This window comes from Homo sapiens, chromosome 7 (assembly GCF_000001405.40).
Source record: "Homo sapiens chromosome 7, GRCh38.p14 Primary Assembly".
Lineage (NCBI taxonomy): Eukaryota > Metazoa > Chordata > Mammalia > Primates > Hominidae > Homo > Homo sapiens.
This window is the reverse complement of record NC_000007.14, coordinates 151,813,539-151,831,478: the sequence shown is the minus strand read 5'-3', so window position 1 is coordinate 151,831,478 and position 17,940 is coordinate 151,813,539. Positions and strand designations below refer to the sequence as shown.

Genomic DNA, 17,940 nt, shown 5'->3' with positions numbered 1-17,940 from the left:
GTCTTTTATGACTTCTTTCACGTAACGAAATATTTTTAAGGTTCGTCCATGTTGTACCATGCGTCAGTCCTTCCTTTTTATGGGCTGGATAATATTCCATTGTATGAATATACCATGTTTTGCTCATTCATCAAAGGAAATTTGGGTTGTTTCCACCTTTTGGCTATTATGAATAATGTTGCTATAAACATTTGTGTACAAATTTCTGTATGGAAATATGTTTTTATTTCTCTTGAGAATATACCTAGGAGTGGAGTTGCTGGGTCATATTGTGACTTTATATTTAACTTCTGAGGCACTGCCAGGCAGTTTTCCAAGCTGGCAGCACCCTTTTACATTCCCACCAGCAATTCCCAGCAATATGAGGATTGCAATTTATTTGTATCCTTGTCAACACTTGTAATTGTCTCTCTTATGTTCTAGCTGTCCTAGTGGGTGTGAAGTGGTGTCTCATTGTGGTTTTGATTTTCATTTCCCTGATAACTAATGTTGAGCTTATCTTCATATACTTATTGGTCATTCGTGAATCTTTCTTGGGAGAATTAAGTGAGGGAAACTCCTTCACCTAAAAGAAAGGATTTTTAGTGACATTGGATGACTCGAAGTCACTCCAGGTGAGAGAGCACAACATGTGTAGAATAAATAGTGAAAGAAGGGACCACGCTCCTCCCTCTCATCACAACCCCCCCCCGCCCCGCCCCCATCCTAAGAAGCATAAAAGAGGGAAGTTTGGCCAGAGGGAGTTTTCCAGAGCAGCCTCAGCTGTCCACCATCCCGCAGGAGGCCTCAGGCCAGGCTCTGGTTCCTCTTCCCCCCGCCCCCGGGGCTCTTTGCTGCCCCTCATGAGTCCCATCGCGGGAGGGCCGGGGAGGCACAGATGGATTTCTGGAAGCTTCTCTGAGAGATCTTCTCAGGTCACACTGTAGGGGCCTTTCAGGGCTCAGAGTTTCCGTCCCCCAGTCCTTCCAGCTCCGTGTGTTACCTCAAAGGAGAGTGAGATGCTGACGGATGCCAGGTGCAGCCTGCTCAGACCCCGGGCTTGGCTTATTTCTCTCCTCGGCCTCTCTCTTCTCTGCCTGCTCCCTGCATCTCAGGGCGCCCTGGAGAGGAAAGAGGTGCACCCTGGGCCACTTGGCCTTTCCGTGGCCCACACAGCACAGTGCAGGTGGCGGGACTTGGCTCTGGCCCGTGCAGGTGGCGGGAAGGGTGGCTCCCGGTCAGCCTGCGGACAGATAGGTTCCTCTCGGCCTGGGCCAGGCACAGAGTTTCAAGCCTGAGAATGGCGAATGGCAAACCGCTGAACTTCTATCAGCGACCCCAGGTGTCCCCTCGTGAGCATGGTAAAAAAAAAAAAAAAAAACCAGGTGGAACAGTCCTCGACATTGGAACAGAAGCCATTCCATCCCATTTCTCCATCTAGAATGAAATCCTCAATAACCTTGGATTCTATAACGCAGAAAGTGTGGTTCTGTCCAGGCCCCTCCCCAGCTGACATCACTAATGACCAATGGAGGCAGGCTCATTGTCAGATGGCCTCAGGGGGGTGTCTGCGCCTCGGTCTCCTCAGGAACTCTGGCAGCTGCGCAGGCTGTACACGGGGCCACCGTCCCCCTCCAGGACTCTCCTGCCTGGCTTCCCCCCGTCAACCCCGTCCTCTTATGCCCTCCCCCGCTGCAGGGTCCCCGGAAGGAATTGTATGATATTTGGTCTTTTATGACTTCTTTCACGTAACGAAATGTTTTTAAGTTTCATCCATGTTGTACCATGTATCAGTCCTTCCTTTCTATGGGCTGGATAATATTCCATTGTATGAATATACCGTGTTCTGTTTATTCATTCATCAGTTAAAGGAAATTTGGGTTGTTTCCGCCTTTTGGCTATTATCAATAATGCTGCTACAAACATTTGTGTACAAATTTCTGTATGGAAATACGTTTTTATTTCTCTTGAGAATATACCTAGGAGTGGAGTTGCTGGGTCATATTGTGACTTTACATTTAACTTTTGAGGCACTGCCAGGCAGTTTTCCAAACTGGCAGCACCGTTTTACATTCCCACCAGCAATTCCCAGCAATATGAGGATTGCAATTTCTTTGTATCCTTGTCAACACTTGTAATTGTCTCTCTTATGTTCTAGCTGTCCCAGTGGGTGTGAAGTGGTGTCTCATTGTGGTTTTGATTTTCATTTCCCTGATAACTAATGTTGAGCTTATGTTCATATACTTATTGATCATTCGTGAATCTTTCTTGGAGAAATGACTTTCAGATCCTTTTCCTGTGTTTAAATTGGGTTGTCTTTTTACTATTGAGTTGAACAGTTCTTTATGTATTGTGAATACAAGTCCCTATCAGATATATGATTCATTCTTTGGGTTGTCTTTCCATCTTCTTGATGGTGTGCTTTGAAGCACAGAAGTTTTCATTTTGATGAGGTCCAGTTGCTTTTGTTTTTTCTTTTGTTACCTATGCTTTCGGTATCCCATTTAAGAAGCCTTCTAACACATTGAGAACACGTCAAATAAACACAAGTATAAGCAGTTATTTTTTATTGTTCTGTTTTGCTTTTTAGAGACAGGTTCTCTCTTTATTGCCCAGGCTGGAGTACATTGGTGTGATCATAGCTCACTGCAGCCTCAAACTCCTGAGCTTAAGTGATCCTTCCACCTCAGCCTCCTCAGTAGCCACCATGCCCCACTGACTTTTAAAGTTTTTTTTTTTTTTGTAAAGACAGGGTCTCGCTGTGTTGTCCAGTCTGGTCTCAAACTCCCGAGCTCAAGCAGTCCTCCCATTTTGGCCTCCCAAAGTGCTGAGAGTTACAGGTGTGAGCCACCATGCCAGGCCCAAGTATTGGCAGTTTTATATTGATATCGTGGTGAGTGAAAGGCCCTTAAAAGGAGGGAAGAAGAGATGAGACAAAGCCACGGTCAGTTTGTAGGCTTCTAAGACTATGAAAATTTCTTCCTTTCTCTCCTAAGTTTGCTTTGCTAGCCTTTATAGCAGTGTCACCTCTGTGAGATGGCTTTTAGGGTCATTCTTTTTCTTCATGCATTAAACTGTTCATTCTCTCTTTAAACAAATATTTACTGAGCATGCACTGTCTATCAGGAACTGTGCAGAGATGAATACAACATAGACCTGAATCCGGGGAGAGTCCTGCCGTCACCCCTTGTTGGGCTAGGATTTGATATCCATTACAGGACTCTCTGAAAACCCCCAGAATGCCACTGTGACCAGGGACCTATCTCCAGGCTCTGTGGGAAGGAGAGGTAGCTCTTCCTCACAAAAGCGTGGAGACCCCTGGACAAAGAGTTGCACTCATTCCAGGGCCAGCCTGGGGTCGGGGCTCCCCTGGGTAGCAGGCGTTTGCTGTGTGCTTGCTGGGTGAATGGGTGGCCCAGTGCACCTGGATCCACTTGGGATTCCTCCTTTGTTCCAAGGTGAGATCACACCCCAGGCTCATGTTGACCTGAATAATCACCCTGGGAGTTTTTCTGGACTGGATGGGAAGGGAGAGGAAGCGACATGATGGGGAGCCCATGGCATCTGCTGCGAAGCTGGAACCCAGGGAAGCGCCCACATCCACTATTACAATATCAGGAACAACAGCACCAAGACGGAGGCCACGTGGTCCTCCTGGGGCTGCCCTTGGAGGCACGTAGGCTCTGGCATTGGAAGTCATACCACGACAGGCTACAGCAAGGCAGTTTTTTTTTTTTTTTTTTTTTTTTTTTTTACCTAAGGCCACCTCAAGAAATTCCTACTGGAATATGTGTTTGGAAAAGCTGTGCCTCTACCCAGGACCTTTTCCTGGTAAAAAGCATATTTCTCTTTATGTAAAATGAGCGTCCTGGAACCCACTGTGTTCCTTTCTCTAGGTCTACCTACCTATTTTGGCTGCATGTTAGAATCACCTGAGGGACATTTAATAAACCCCAGTTCCGGCTGGGTGCAGTGGCTCACACCTGTAATCCCAGCACTTTGGGAGGCCAAGGTGGGCGGATCCCTTGAGGTCAGGAGTTCGAGACCAGCCTGGCCAACATGGTGAAACCCTGTCTCTACTAAAAATACAAACATTAGCTGGGTGTGGTGGCAGGCACCTGTAATCCTGGCTACTCCAGAGGCTGAAGTAGGAGAATCACTTGAACCTGGGAGGCAGAGGTTGCAGTGAGCTGAGATTGCGCCACTGCACTCCAGCCTAGGCAACAGAGTGAGACCCTGTCTCAAAAATAAATGAATGAATAAATAAATGAAAATAAATAAAAATCCCAGTTCCCACTGGACCCCAGATGGATTAAATGAGAAACTCTGAGACCAGGCATTGGGGTTTTTGTGGTTGTTGTTTTGAACTCCAGAGATGATTTCTGTGTCCATCCAAGGTTGAGAGCCAGTGGTCTGCAGGAAGTCTGGACCCAAATATATGACTTATCTGTAGTGTTCCATCCTACACAGCTGTGTTCTCTGGTTCCAGCCTTCCATGTTAAATTTTCTCCAAACCTGATTTTCACTGGCTTGTAGAAAGGTGGCCTTTTTTTTCTCAATACAGCCTTTCCTGACCACAGTCTCTGCCGTGATGTATGTGTGCAATACAGAAACACATTCTGTTGGGTGAATAAACAAGTGAATAGAGCAATTAGGAAGCAGGAGAGAAAATGGAATTGCAATGGTGTTTTATTTAACTCAAAAGTGGTATTTTGTGAAAAACAAGTTTGATCAGTGGAAGGAAAAAAATAAATGGAGAATGTTGGAAGAGGGCTCCGTGTATTTGAGGATGTATCACGTCTAGTATTTGTTTAATGTCCCTTTAGAACATTTATTTTCACTTACAGTCATTACTTTTTCTTGATAGCATACAAATCCCTAGCTCTTTTCTTTTTCAATGATTAGGGTACATTTTCACCTCATAAAGGAAAGAGAGAGGAAGGGAAGGTGAGAGGGAATTTCCTCCTTATGAAGAGCTGGAAATGGAAAGAGGAAATGGGTGAAATTAATGGAACTGAGCCAGGCGCGGTGGCTCACATCTGTAATCCCAGCACTTTGGGAGGCCAAGGCAAGTGGATCACCTAAGATCAGGAGTTCGAGACCAGCCTGTCCAACAAGGTGAAACCCTGTCTCTACTAAAAATACAAAAAAATTAGCCAGGCGTGGTGGTCGGTGCCTGTAATCCCAGCTACTCGGGAGGCTGAGGTGGGAGAATCACTTGAACCTAGGAGGTGGAAGTTGCAGTGAGCCGAGGTCACGCCACTGCACTCCAGCCTAGGCGACAGAGCAAGACTCTGTCAAAAAAAAACAACAACAAAAAAAAAAGTGGAACTGGAAGTCAGGAGAGATGGAGAAAGAGAGAATGGATGGGTGGGGGTGTTTAGGGCAGGGCGGTGGTGGGTGCACAGCTTTGCATACCAACTGGGGAAAAGGTACTCTACCTGTTAGGGTGACAGCTGCTCCAGTTCTCTGGGATGGAGGGGCTTCTTCAAATGTGGGACTTCCTGTTTTAAACCCACACAGTCCTGGGTAAACCGAGACTAATTGGTCACCCTGGATGCTGGCCAAGGACCTACTGGCGGCTTGCTTGCTGATTTTTGTTTGGAGGCAATTGGGGCCAGGAAAGGGAGTGAAGAAGCCTTAGGCTGGGATGGGAAGCTTGACCTAGCTCTGAGCCACACAGCTTTATGCTCTGGTGTCTGTAATGCTGGGCATCCCTTCGCTCGATGCATTTGTGCTCAGGAAAGGACTTGCTGAACAAATGTCCAGCTCAGGGGATGGGACGTGAAAGGAGATGTGGGCCTGAGGAGCGTCCCAGAGACAAACAGGGCAGGAAGTTCTCTGTTTTAACATGAAAGGGGAAAAAACAGGCTTCAAATGTATTCTTCCCACTGTGCTGGGAGTTCCCTGGAGGGCGGAGACTTGTGCTTCATCTGGTACCCCTGTCACCTAGGGTGCCAGGTGCATGGGGAGCGGCCAGTGCATGTTAAATCTGGGCCAGAGGAAGCATGCGTTGGGTGTCTGGCTCTATGTCAGGGTTGGGAGCATTTATTATACAAAAAGACTCCCATCCTCACATCATTTTAAGGTATCATTGAGGGTACGAATCATATACTCAAAGTCTTCATAATCAGAGAATAATATAAAGTGAATTTAATGAAGAAAAACAAAGAATCGTGTCCTATTTGGGTTTAGGACTACATTCTCAAAGGCCCTTTAATTCGAATTTGATTCAAATAGCAATGCCAGGGCAAAGAAGCCAACAAATGACCTTCTGTTTTTTTTGGAGACAGAGTCTGGCTCTGTCACTCAGGCTGGAGTACAATGGCACGATCTCAGCTCACTGCAACCTCTACCTCCTGGGTTCAAGCCATTCTCCTGCCTCAGCCTCCTGAGTAGCTGAGATTACACGCGCCTGCCACCACACCCAGCTAATTTTTTTGTATTTTTAGTAGAGACGGGGTTTCACCATGTTGGCCAGGCTGGTCTCGAACTCCTGACCTCGTGATCCGCCCGCCTCAGTCTCCCGAAGTGCTAGGGCTGCAGGCATGAGCCACCGTGCCCCGCCTAGATGACCTTCTTAAGCGCTATAAGTTACACTGAGTTTATTTAGGATTAGGGAATAGACTCAGAAGAAAGAGAGGGAAGGGGGCAGGAGAAAGCGCACGAGTGTCGGCTGAGTTCCGCTGGGGTAGTAAGTGGCCCCACGTCCTCAGCAGCAAGCCAGGACAGAAGTGCATTTCTCGCTACTGCTGTACATGCATCACCGACAGCTGGGGCTCTGCTTTGTGTCCTGTTAATTTTGGGAACCGCAGGCTGAAGGAGCAGTTCCTGTCTGGGTGCTTGCTGTGAGAGGAGCAGGAGAGAGGTGTCAGACAGCTCCAAAAGCTTCCACTGGGAAGTGGCACCCATCACTTCTGGGAAATGCAAGGCACACAGCCAAGTGTGGTGGGGGTAGTGGGGATAATAACCCTCCTAGAGGGAGGGGCTCCACACAGAGGCTACTAGGATCTCATTACAATCTCATCACGATTTAAAGTATCAGTCGATACCATTCACCGCGGCTTAGGAGTTCCGGCAACTATCTGCACTACCTTCCACAAACCTTGATGTTAACACAAGCAGCATAATCCAATCACTTCTGTATCTTCTTAGAATGTGGAAGTCAGGAACCAGGCAGGATGACAGGAAGTGGGGAAAAGCCGAGGGGAGCAAAACACAAGCTGAACTGGGATCTTTGACCTGAACCAATTACGAAGCTTCCAGCTAAGAAGCTTTCCAAGTCATAGAATATTATGAATATTCTGAACCAAGGGCGATTTACGGCATGCCCTTGAGTCCCTGAAGTCCAAGGAATTGCCTCTCAGTTTACTTTAAATCAAAAGCTGATTCCTTCTTAAAGGGAAAGCTCAGATTTCCGACTTCACAGTTCCCTTCTCAGAGGTTCCTTGGGTTCTGCCTCCATAAGTTATACCAAGAATAACTGGGGGCCTCCCACACACCATTTTCTCTCTATGCCTGTTTCCCCGTCTTTACAGTGAGGTGGGTGGGTGCTATCAGTGGTTCTTACTTAGCAGAATATTTCAATCACCCAGTTCTCAGCCCCAGCAATTTTGATTCAGTAGTTCTTAATTGGGATCTAGTTTTTGAAAACTCCCCAGAGGTTCTAATTTTCTCTCCAGGTAGACGAATGATTTAGCCAGGGGTGGACTTTACCTCCTTTCCAGCCCCCATCCACCAGGAATGACTCTGGGCCCCACATCCCTGGGCCCAGCCCTGGTAAAGGATCATAGGATCAGGCTGTGGAAGTTTCCAGAAACAGATGGAGGGTGTCATCTCTTCCCACGTCTCTCCCTAGCCTCTGATGTGGAGTTTGACATTTTAATCAGAGATGAGGCCCCCAGATGGCCCAGTAGGCCAGGACTGGTTAGGCAGAGGGTGAGTGAGGTTCCATCTCCTTGGGATCTACTCTCTTGTCCCTGGACTGACTTAGGAGAGGGGTCTGCACCCACCACGGTGCCTGGCCCATGTGACCACTCACAAATGGGGCCAAATTCAACAGCCCCTATTTCCAAATAAGGTCACATTCTGAGGTTCTGGGAGTGAAGACTCCAATGTCTTTTTTGCGGGTGCAAGCACTTTAACCCATAACAGCAGAGTATAATGCATTCTGAGATATTTCTTTTAAAATCATTAAAACATTTAAGAAGTTTCAGCTTAAGTTTTAGTGTTTATTCAATTTTTGGAAAAAAAAATGTTGATACAAAATCCCTGTAGCCAACAAAACTGGATACACATTTTTCCTGTTCTTCCTGAGCTTCATAGAGAGTGTCCCCAGGCGGCTGTGCTGAGAGGGGCCACGCCTGGCAGAGTCCGGCTGTGGCCTGGCCCCTGCTGCTGTGACAAGCCAGGGGTCAGGGAGCAGGTTCTGCAGTTGAGCTTGCGTTTTCCGCTGTGGGGTGGGGTGGGGTGGGGTCTGAAAACCAGGTCGCTGGGAGGAATTCTAGGAGCCCTAGATTTTCAAGTGATAGAGCCGGGCTTGGCGGCCACTCAGCTTCCCCAGGCTGATTAGTCGCTGGAGGTTGTTTTCTTGTTTGTTTCATTTTTGAATCAGGGCTGAACATTCTGTGTTGTGGATTCATTGGGCAACCTTTTGTGGGGAGGGAGGGAGTGTGACGTGGAGGTGTGGAGGCAGGTCCCTGTCACCTGACCCAGGGTGCAGGTGGCGTCCACATGGGTCTGCACCCCTGACCCTGGCTCCACACAGCCAAGGCCATTGCACTAAGCGTGTCTGTCAGAGCTTGGGAAGACGCTGTCCACCTGCCACCACTGGAAGCAGCACCATCTCACAGGCCAGCTGCCCCAGGTGCCCAAGCCTGGGCAGCGGGGCCGGCTCACCGTTCCTCTCAGCCTTCCCCTCGCCTCCTGGCCCTTGGCTTTTCACAGTCTCAGCTGTGCAGCCCAGCCCCAAGGGAGCCCCTGGACCTGGGCCGCCGCGTGCTCTGAGACATGTCCCAAGACTGGCTCAGAGGGTCTTCAGGGCCGCATCTGCCTTTTGCTCCTTTTTACTCCCACAGCGCCTTCACCCAGGCAGCGCTGGGTACATCGTGGTCAGTTGATTAAAGGAGGCCTTGGGGACAGTAAAGTCACCCCCCGCCCTTGACCCTGGCCTGCTGACAGTAAAGTCACCCCCCGCCCTTGACCCTGGCCTGCTGCCCTCCTGAACCCACCTCGTTCCTGGGCTCGAGGCCTCCTAGGGCGGTGGCAGTTGTGCTCTGGCCCCAGCCCTGGCCAGAACATCATCCCACCCAGAGGAGGCTGCAGGTGTCTGTTTCTGGAACATTCTATTATTTACTTTCTGCCATTTCCTACCTTGCCTTAAGGTTCAGAGTCTCTGTATCTGTCCCCAGTGGCAGTTGTCATGGGGTGAGGTCTTTAAATGGGCTTCTCTGACACCTGAGTCACGCGGCACTGGAACGCACTGGGGTGCCTCCCAGATCCTTGGCTCCCAGCAGCTCTCAGGCCCTGTTCGCCTCCGTAAAACTCAGCCTACAGATGTGCATATGTGCGCGTGTGTGTATGTGTGTGCATGTACATACATACATACGGATTTAATCCTCACAGTAACCCTGTGGGGTGGGCATAATTATTATTAACTCCACTTTACAAATGAGGAAACTGAGGCATAGAGAGGCTAAATGACTTAGCCAACGTCCCAGCACTGGCAAAGCAAAGCTGGAATTTGAACCTGTAGAAAAAGAGCATCCGTTTCAAAGGGTGAGTAGAGGCATTTTTCTCCTTCATGGTGTGCTCAGGACGAGGAATCCAATGTGTCTTAGAGAGGACTTGCTTAGGGGCATTGTTATAGAGGGCAATTTGTAGAAAAAAAATGGTTTTGTGCAGTGTGGTTTATGTTGATTTCAATTAAATTGGGGAGCCTTGTGCATGCTAAACGACAGCTTGGCCTTCTACCACCTGGGCAGCCCGGGGCCTTCTGCTCAGCAGTGCCATTGAGGCTGTTTTAGGTCACAGACATTCAGCCCCGGAGCACCTGCCTGAGACTAGCCAGGCTTGTGCTACAGCCTGTTGGCCTTCTGTGTGTGCCAAGCCTGGGCCCAATCCTGGTTCCCAGCTTAAAAGAAAGATCGAGTTGCCATGAGCCTTCCACAGCCTTCTAGAGCCTTCCAGAGCCTTGACAGTGTGTCTAGGGAACAAAGGAGGAGGATGCTCTGGGGCCTTACAAAATGCAAGGACCCTTCAGTGCCTCTGATTTTTACCTGATCTTGCTTATCTTAGCTTCAGTCTTACTCCTTTCATGAAGTTATTTTTTAAGACTTTCTTCCAAAGTAGCCCCTTCCTTCTGGAAACTTCTATGATGGTGGCTGCTGTCTGTGCCACACACGATGTTGTGTGGACTCTCAGCCTGCTTGTTCCCTGTCTCCACAGCTTTCCTTCTGGCCGGGACTGAGGTCCGTGGGGTTGGAGGCTCTCTCTTCTACTTTTCTTGGGTCCCAGCAATGCAGCATGAGGCAGGTACCTGGCTGGGGGGGGTCCTAAGAATATCCATTGACTGGGAGACGGGGTGCCGAGAGAGAGAGCGGGAGTGGTGATGGGCCACTGAGAGCTGCTAGGGCAGGGTGGGCCTCAGGGTTAGGAGAGAAGCCCGGCTTATTGTTGTTTAAAAAATGGAAGAGGAAAGAAAATGGGGCTTCCCAAGTGCCAAGTTCCTTCTGTTGAAGGTGGCGCTCATCTCCAGACAGTGGCTCCTGCTTATCAGGTCTGAGGAGCTCTTGCCTTGACTGGACATTGACCCTGTGGGAGACGTGAAGTTGGAGACCACGGAGCGGTGTTCAGAGTAGAGTGTGCCCTGCAGTAGCCAGAGGGGCCAGGCCACGGAGCGGTGTTCCGAGTAGAGTGTGCCCTGCAGAAGCCACAGGGGCCAGGCCACGGAGCGGTGTTCCGAGTAGAGTGTGCCCTGCAGAAGCCACAGGGGCCAGGCCACGGAGCGGTGTTCCGAGTAGAGTGTGCCCTGCAGAAGCCACAGGGGCCAGGCCACGGAGCGGTGTTCCGAGTAGAGTGTGCCCTGCAGAAGCCACAGGGGCCGGGCCCCAAGCATCAAAATGACGGAAGTCAAAGGAGCCCACGGCAGTGGGTGTGGAGGAGTAATCGTGATGGGGGTAGGAGCGAGGTCAGAGAAGTTCTTGGAAGGAGTGAAGCTCTGACAGATGCTTAAGCCTGTCCCTCTTGAATTTATGCTAAGCCCATCAGCTCCTTTTGGCATGCACCATTTTTTAGAAAAAGGTTCCAGCTGCCGGCGTGAATAGCGAGTCCTTCCTCCTCTCACTTCTGCTCCCTGCACACATCGAGCTTGTTCAGACTGGAGTTAGACAAGTCACTGTGGGGTCACGGGACAAAGTCTCAGCCGGTTTTCCAGTGGATAGGCATATCTCTTCCTTATCAGGTGCTGGCATAAAATCAGGAACACCTGGTCTTAGCCTTGGCCCTCTAAGGACACAGCCATGTGACCTTGGGCACGTCACTTAAACTGATTGATCACATATGACTTAGCGTTTATAGACCTGCTGGCTTATTTGGTAGAGGTGGGTCCCTGATTGGGCAGGTGACATGCTCCAAACACAAGTCAGCCACCGCAGGAGCTGCATGCACACTCAGTACACACGGCACTTCTTTGGACAGAGGGCTCTGGGGCCCCATCCCACATTTGAGGCTCAGGGGACCGGTTTTCACCCGTAAGGCTCCAGGCAGTAGCCCAAGTATCTCAAGACCTTCAGGTGGTCAGAACATGGCCTTGAAAGATAGAGAAACTGTTATCCTTTGCGGGGGTTGGTTTGTTTTTGTTTAGACTCCATTAAAATCAGGACACAAGGTCTTAATGACTCCAAATGTCTTTGCAATCCTGCAGTTTTAGAACTATTAGTTCTACCTGGATGGAGGTACCCAGGGAGGGGCAGGGGGGCGAACTATTCTCAGCTAATCTAATCTCAGCACAGCCACTCAGCAAACATCTGGTTACTTTGGTAAATATTGGCAGTCTCTAGCGACTGGAGGTGGGTGAGGCTGCGTGTCCCCCTGACAGCCTTGGGACTGGTGGCCTATGACAACAAAAGGAAATCCTAGAGCAGGGTTTGCCAAATCCCTATAGGCGATTTTAGGCGGCAGGTCCAACCTGTTCTTGTAGCTCAGAGGAAGTCTCAGCGCTGCCCTCTGGCAGATGCACTCCGAGCAGGACCCAGAGGTGTTAGGACCGGCAGGACTGGTCTAGCTAACAGCAGATGCAGCAGCTGGGTCCTCGGAGGTGGAGGATGAAGACCAATAGCGTCCAGGTCACCGGGGCTGGGTGGGCTGCGGGCCGGCCAGATTCTCTGTCTCTTTATCCAAGGGGGCTGCAGCCTGTGCCATCCTCCTGACTCACTCTGCACACCACTCATTTCGCCAGGGAGCTGATTGACAAGCCCTCTGCTGTGAATTTCAACAAGGATGTTCACGGCGCAGAGCAGCCCTCTTTGGCACATTGGTTCCCAATTGGGATATTTCAGAAGCAACCACAGGACCTGGCATATTGCACAGAGTTCATGAGTACAGGGCACTGGCCTCAAGCTGTCATAGGAATGAGGTTCCAAAGTAAAATGCCACACCGTCTACATCCCACCAGGCCCAGTCAATCTCAAATGCTGGCCCCAGCCAGTGGCATGCCGTGCCCCGAATCCCCAGCTGCCAGCTCCCAAGTGAAATAAAAGTGTGGTCAATGAGGCTGGGCCTTGAGCCCAGGGGGTTCCCTCTTCTTTCAGCTGCCCTGGCCTCTGGCTTTCCCCTGCACAGATCTTGCAGGACAGTGAGGGCAGGGACAGCATTGGCACATAAAAGGGGGGTAGAATATGGGCTTTATTGGTCAGCGTCTCTGCCCAGGGCAGTTGCCATCAGCCCTTTTGCAGATACTCCCTCTGCAAGCTGCCCTGCCGGCCTGGTGCCGAGATTGGCTCTGGACACAGGGTTCTGGGGTGCAGTGGTGTAGTCCTGCATAGCAATGCCTCATCGCAGGGACGTGAGCTTGGCATGCAGCATTTGACTTTTAGGTGAAGGGCTGAGGGCGGCATGGGATTTGGCAAAGATTTGTGCTAGATTTCTGGGATGCTGAGAAATCTAACCCAGGTCTGTTATTCAGGGGTTGGGGGGTGGGGGCTGGAGACACGCCTTTTACACATGTGTGCTCATGCATGTCTAGTTTTCTAGGCCACTTACACAGCTCAGGCAGTACCATGCATCATTTGAGATTTTCCTGTCACATTTGCCATTTGTCATTCTTTGAAGTCACTGTTTTGACTTGTTATGTAATATCATAAGGCCCCAATGTCTGGCTCTATCAGAACATACTTGACAATATCCCATTTCTGCACACTCAGGTGGTACCTGATCCTTTCCGTATTGCTGCAGACTTTGTTTATTTCAGATGTTATAGGCTGGACCTGTAAAGGGGGACTCTCAACTTGTGGTGTGTGAGTATCTTCCTCTTATTCTTAATTATGCAAGTAATAAACAAGCATGAGCCACAGAAAAACTAGATGATAAAAATAAACAAAAATGAATAAAGGGACAGTGGCCCTGTTAGGATGTGCTGTACGGAGCCAGGCTGGGGAGGGGAACATCACTTTGATCGAATCCTGGATTTGCAGCTTGTGTGTTCTGTAACCTTTGTGACTCCACTTCTCTGGGCCTCAATTTCCTTATCGATAAAATGGACAGTATTTTGTGCAGGTTGAGAGAGGATATGTAAAATACTCAGCACTTAAAATAGACTCAAAACATGAGTTCCAGGAGAGGGCCCTGGTGATAACCTACAGGTGCCAGGGAGGGGCTTTAGGGGCAGGGCTAGGCTTTCTAGGGATGCCAAGCTCTAGGGTCAGGAGGGTGCCTGCATGCGGGGCCCAAGGGTCATGAGGCCTGACAGCCTTGGGAAGCCTGGGGGTGTGGAAGGATGACCGTGGGCCAGGCTCCTGTGGGCCTGGCAGCCCATGCTGAAGAAGTGGGGTTTGTTCTGTAGATGGCATGGAGCTAGTGAAGGTTTTCTGGTTCTGTTTTGTTATTGCTTTGTCTGGTGAGGGTGCTAAGAGTAATGCCTGAAAAACAGAGTTTAGGAGGATGAATTAGAGCGGGTGAGTCCGAGGGGATGTGCTTCAGGAAGGCATTGCCTTTTCACTTCTGATTCTGACACCAGCCCCATGCACCAAAATGGTCTTCAGGCTTTGCTAAGTATCTGTGATCTACTAGGCTCTGTTGTTCAAGACAGCTGACTCCGCCCTCCAGGGAGAGTAGGTGGAAAGCTCAGAGCCACCTGCATGCGGAGTGCAGTGGAGGTTCTGGAAGCGAGGAGAAATGCAGGTGAAGACAGTGACCGTGCTTGCGGTGGGCAGCTTGCAAGCAGGAGTGGAGTTGTTTATGTTCCTTAATCTCTAATGAGTGATCCTGGGTCCCTGAGACGTGGAATTGCTGCCGTGAGAACTACAGCATCATCACACCCCATAAGTCACTCTCAAACGCTGGTCTCCAAGCGTAGCAAACCTCTGAATCCTTTAGACGACGGAGCCCATTTCTCTGACATTTCCAGCTTTTCCAAGGAAAACCAATTAGGCTTTTTTCCTCAGGCTCGTATGTATGCTTTGGAATAAAGCACACAGAAAATAAAACAGGCCCAGCTCACCCAGCAAGGCTAGTTCCAGAACCAGCAGGAGAAAATATTGAGATTGGCCGGATCTCTGGTCGACCACTTGCATCGGTGCCCGGGGGGCTGGCTGCAGGCTGCAGGAGGTTTGGCCCTTCGATCTTCGCCAAATGGCGCCAGCTTTCTGCTAAACCTCAGGTTTATGCTAGCACTGCCCTCTGGTTCCAGAATAATCCCGCACATCCCAGGATGATGCTTATTTCTGTCCTGATGCGTGTTCATCCATGATCCCAACAGCAGCCCTGGGAGGTGTGCAGAGCAAGTGTTTCCACTCAGCTTGGTTTTTCAAAGGAAGAACTGAGGTTCAGAGAAATGACTGATCCAGGACTTGGACCTGGGTTGTTGACACAGAATATTAATGCTCTGGTCTGAAAGGGACCTTGAGGAACATCCCATAACACATGGCTCATTCTACGGACAAAAAAAAAACAAAAAACAGTTTCCGCTTAAAATGGCCTGCTCAGGTAGGCAAGTGCAGAGCTCAGGCTTGTGAGTTCTTAGAGCTATCTGGCCACAGCACGCCAGGCCTGTGATTTGTCAGGTCTCTGAGTGGACAGCTGGATTGCCTGGTACCCTCCTGGGCTGAAAGTGACTTTAAGAAAGCCACGGACTTCCAACCCCTACAGAGGCCCCCCAAAGTCCCAGCTGACTCAGCCGCCTTTTTGTCCGTGGGCCTTAGTAGATGGCCATGCAACGCCCTTCTGTCCCCTCTAGGAAGCCTTCCTGAATACGTCATCCACATTAATCTTTTTCCACCTTGTGTTGCCATCAACCTTACCTGAATAACACATTTGCCCACTAAATCATAGCCTTTGAGTCACAGGCTCGTGGAAGAAGCCTCCTTTTCTTGAATACCTGCAGCAACAGATCACTCAATATCTTTGGAAGCAATTCCTCCACTGCTGAGAAGTTCAAGTCCTGAGCAAGTTTTATTTAATGAGGGACACGGCGGGGTTCTGAAATGGGGACCCTCATTTTCTCCTAACAATTCAAGTTCATTTTCTGCCCCACAGCCTGTTTTCAGGGCACCTGGGATTTGTTGTAATCAGGTACAGGAAGACATGCAGACTCAGGAATGAGTGTCACGAAGGAAGGAACTGATGATACTCACAGATCCCTGGAAGCAGGAGGCTAGGCACACCACTGCCACGTGGGGAAGCACGGGGTTGGGCAGGAGGCAGAGGGAGCAAGGGGGAGATGCAGGCAAGAGACTTTATTGTGGTTTCTGTGAATAATTTTAGGGGACTGTGGGTACAGGGGCTGTCCCTAGCTGTCTGGTACCTGCCCTGGGGTGATTTGGGTAGTGGGTGATGGCCTGGGGTGTGAGAGCCCCCAGGAGGAGGTGAGGAGGGGAAGGGTCTGTGTGGGTTGGCTTGCATAGGAAAAGCAAGCTCACAGATGAGTTGCTTACTATCTCCAGGAATTGCCCAGCCCTGGGAGGGCAGTCCCTCCAGGATCAGCAAGGCCCCAGGTGTCAAAGCATCAGAATACAGAAAATCAGAGACATGGCTGATATAGGCAGAGACCATGTTGTCTCCTGGATGATGTTTGCAGGCTGTCTGGTTGGAGTTGGGGGAATGGAGTGTAAATGGGGATTTCACTGCCAGAGCCTTTTGGAAAGCCATACCCATCCTTCTGGCCAGAGGGGAAAAAAACCCCCACAATCTTTGTGCTCCAAGGACAGGAATCCCCAGGGAGTTCAGATTTCTGAAGCCTTTGCCTGAAGTTAGATGGGAACAGTGCAGGGGTTGTGCTGGCCAGAGGACCTGGAGCCCAGAGCTGTCCACTGCTGCATCATCGGCCTCTGCTCCTGCCTCCCTCCATCCTGCTGCCTGTCTTTTTAAAAGCTCCGGTCCAGCCCTCCCTCCTGCTGGCTTGCTGTGTGGTAAGGAGTTTCCTCCCCAGCAGCGCCTGACACAGGTGGGAATGACAGTTTGCTGCAGTCCCGTCAATGGGGGAATCTGCCCGAGCTCTGCCTGCATTTTGAGCAGCAAAGCAGCTCCAGCCACCAAGACCGTTGCCTGCGCTGTCTTAGGCCAGCCCATGCTGTCTGCCAGCCGCTTGTTGCGCTGCCTTGGGGACTGGGAACACACCCAGCCCCGGTCCCCATCTGTTGCAGACATGCAGTGGCAGCAGCTCGGAGCACAGCCGAACCCTAGAAATTGCCTGTGCTGAAGGGGCTGGGAAACCCCTTCTCTGATGGACCTTTCGAGTGAGGCAGCAGGATTTGTCAGAGCTGGGAGTGCCGCCCGTCCCCGTCACTCGCATCCTGCCATCCAGCAGCTTACAAGCCTGCACTGCTTATTAGCATCTGGAAGAGAAGACCTCCAGGACCCCTTGGGGCTGAGTAAGCAGACCTGCGGGAGCTGGCTTTCTAAATGCATAGTGATTGTGCGTCCCTGGGTGTGCGGTTTTCCCCCTCACGATGCTTTGTCTCCTTGGTGTGTAAGACTGATGCTGAATTGTGGCTTTGTTCTCCAAGAGCCTCTTATTAAATCAGATACCCCAAGGCTGAGCAAAATGTTCCTTCTCTCCACGGAAGCTGTATGTTTTCTCCTTACATAACTTTTTCTTGGTGATTTAAAGAGCATCACTAGTGAAGGTGGTATGTGTGTGGGCGTGTTCAGCTCCATTCCTCTCTGAGTCTGTCTCTCCTCCCCTGCCAGGCTGAGCAGAGCTGCCTCACACACTGGGTCCTGGGTACAGGGTCTCCTCCCTGCCTTCCCACCCTGGCTTGAACTTCCCTTACTGGAGCTGAAATCTTAGCGAAGTTGTCATTCTTTGCCTGGCCTTGCCCTTCCTGAGTCATCACTTATTACCTTTGGCCCAAACAGAAAAGACTGGGGATGATGTGGGGGCTTTGGGGATGGCCCACAGTTTTCTGGGGACTCTCTTGACCCCATATACATTGAAGGGTATCTTGGCCTCCTGCGGAGCGTGGAGCCCAACGCTTACTTGCTTGCTGAAGTTGTGGGGAATCCAAAGAAGCAGCAGATGGGAGGGGAGTGGGGGAGAGAGGAAGGGAAGGAAGAGAAGATCGTAGATGGCCTCCTCAGTGGCTGAACCGTGGGCTGTCACCGCTGTCTGGTGGAGAGGAGGAGGGGGAGGCTGAGAACCAGAAGCCCTGACTGTTGAGTGAATTTGCAGCAACAAGTAGAGCTGCAGGCTGGAAAGTACTAGATTCGGAGCTCACCCAGCATCCCTCTTGTCGCCCTTCTGTGACA

General features: G+C 50.3%; 1 protein-coding gene across 13 annotated transcripts in view; it reads left to right on the top strand.

The window, feature by feature from the left end:
- PRKAG2 (protein kinase AMP-activated non-catalytic subunit gamma 2) overlaps positions 1-17,940 on the top strand; it is a 320,989-nt gene that overhangs the window by 45,637 nt on the left and 257,412 nt on the right. For 6 of the 13 annotated variants that reach the window (NM_001407032.1, NM_001407026.1, NM_001040633.2 and 3 more), the window contains exon 1: positions 16,620-17,063. The exons of the other annotated variants lie outside the window; for them this stretch is intronic. In NM_001407032.1, the coding sequence (NP_001393961.1) occupies positions 16,916-17,063 (148 nt within the window). In that variant the 5' untranslated portion in view covers positions 16,620-16,915. Of the gene's footprint in view, positions 1-16,619; positions 17,064-17,940 lie in introns of those variants that run through there. 13 annotated transcript variants of the gene reach the window in all.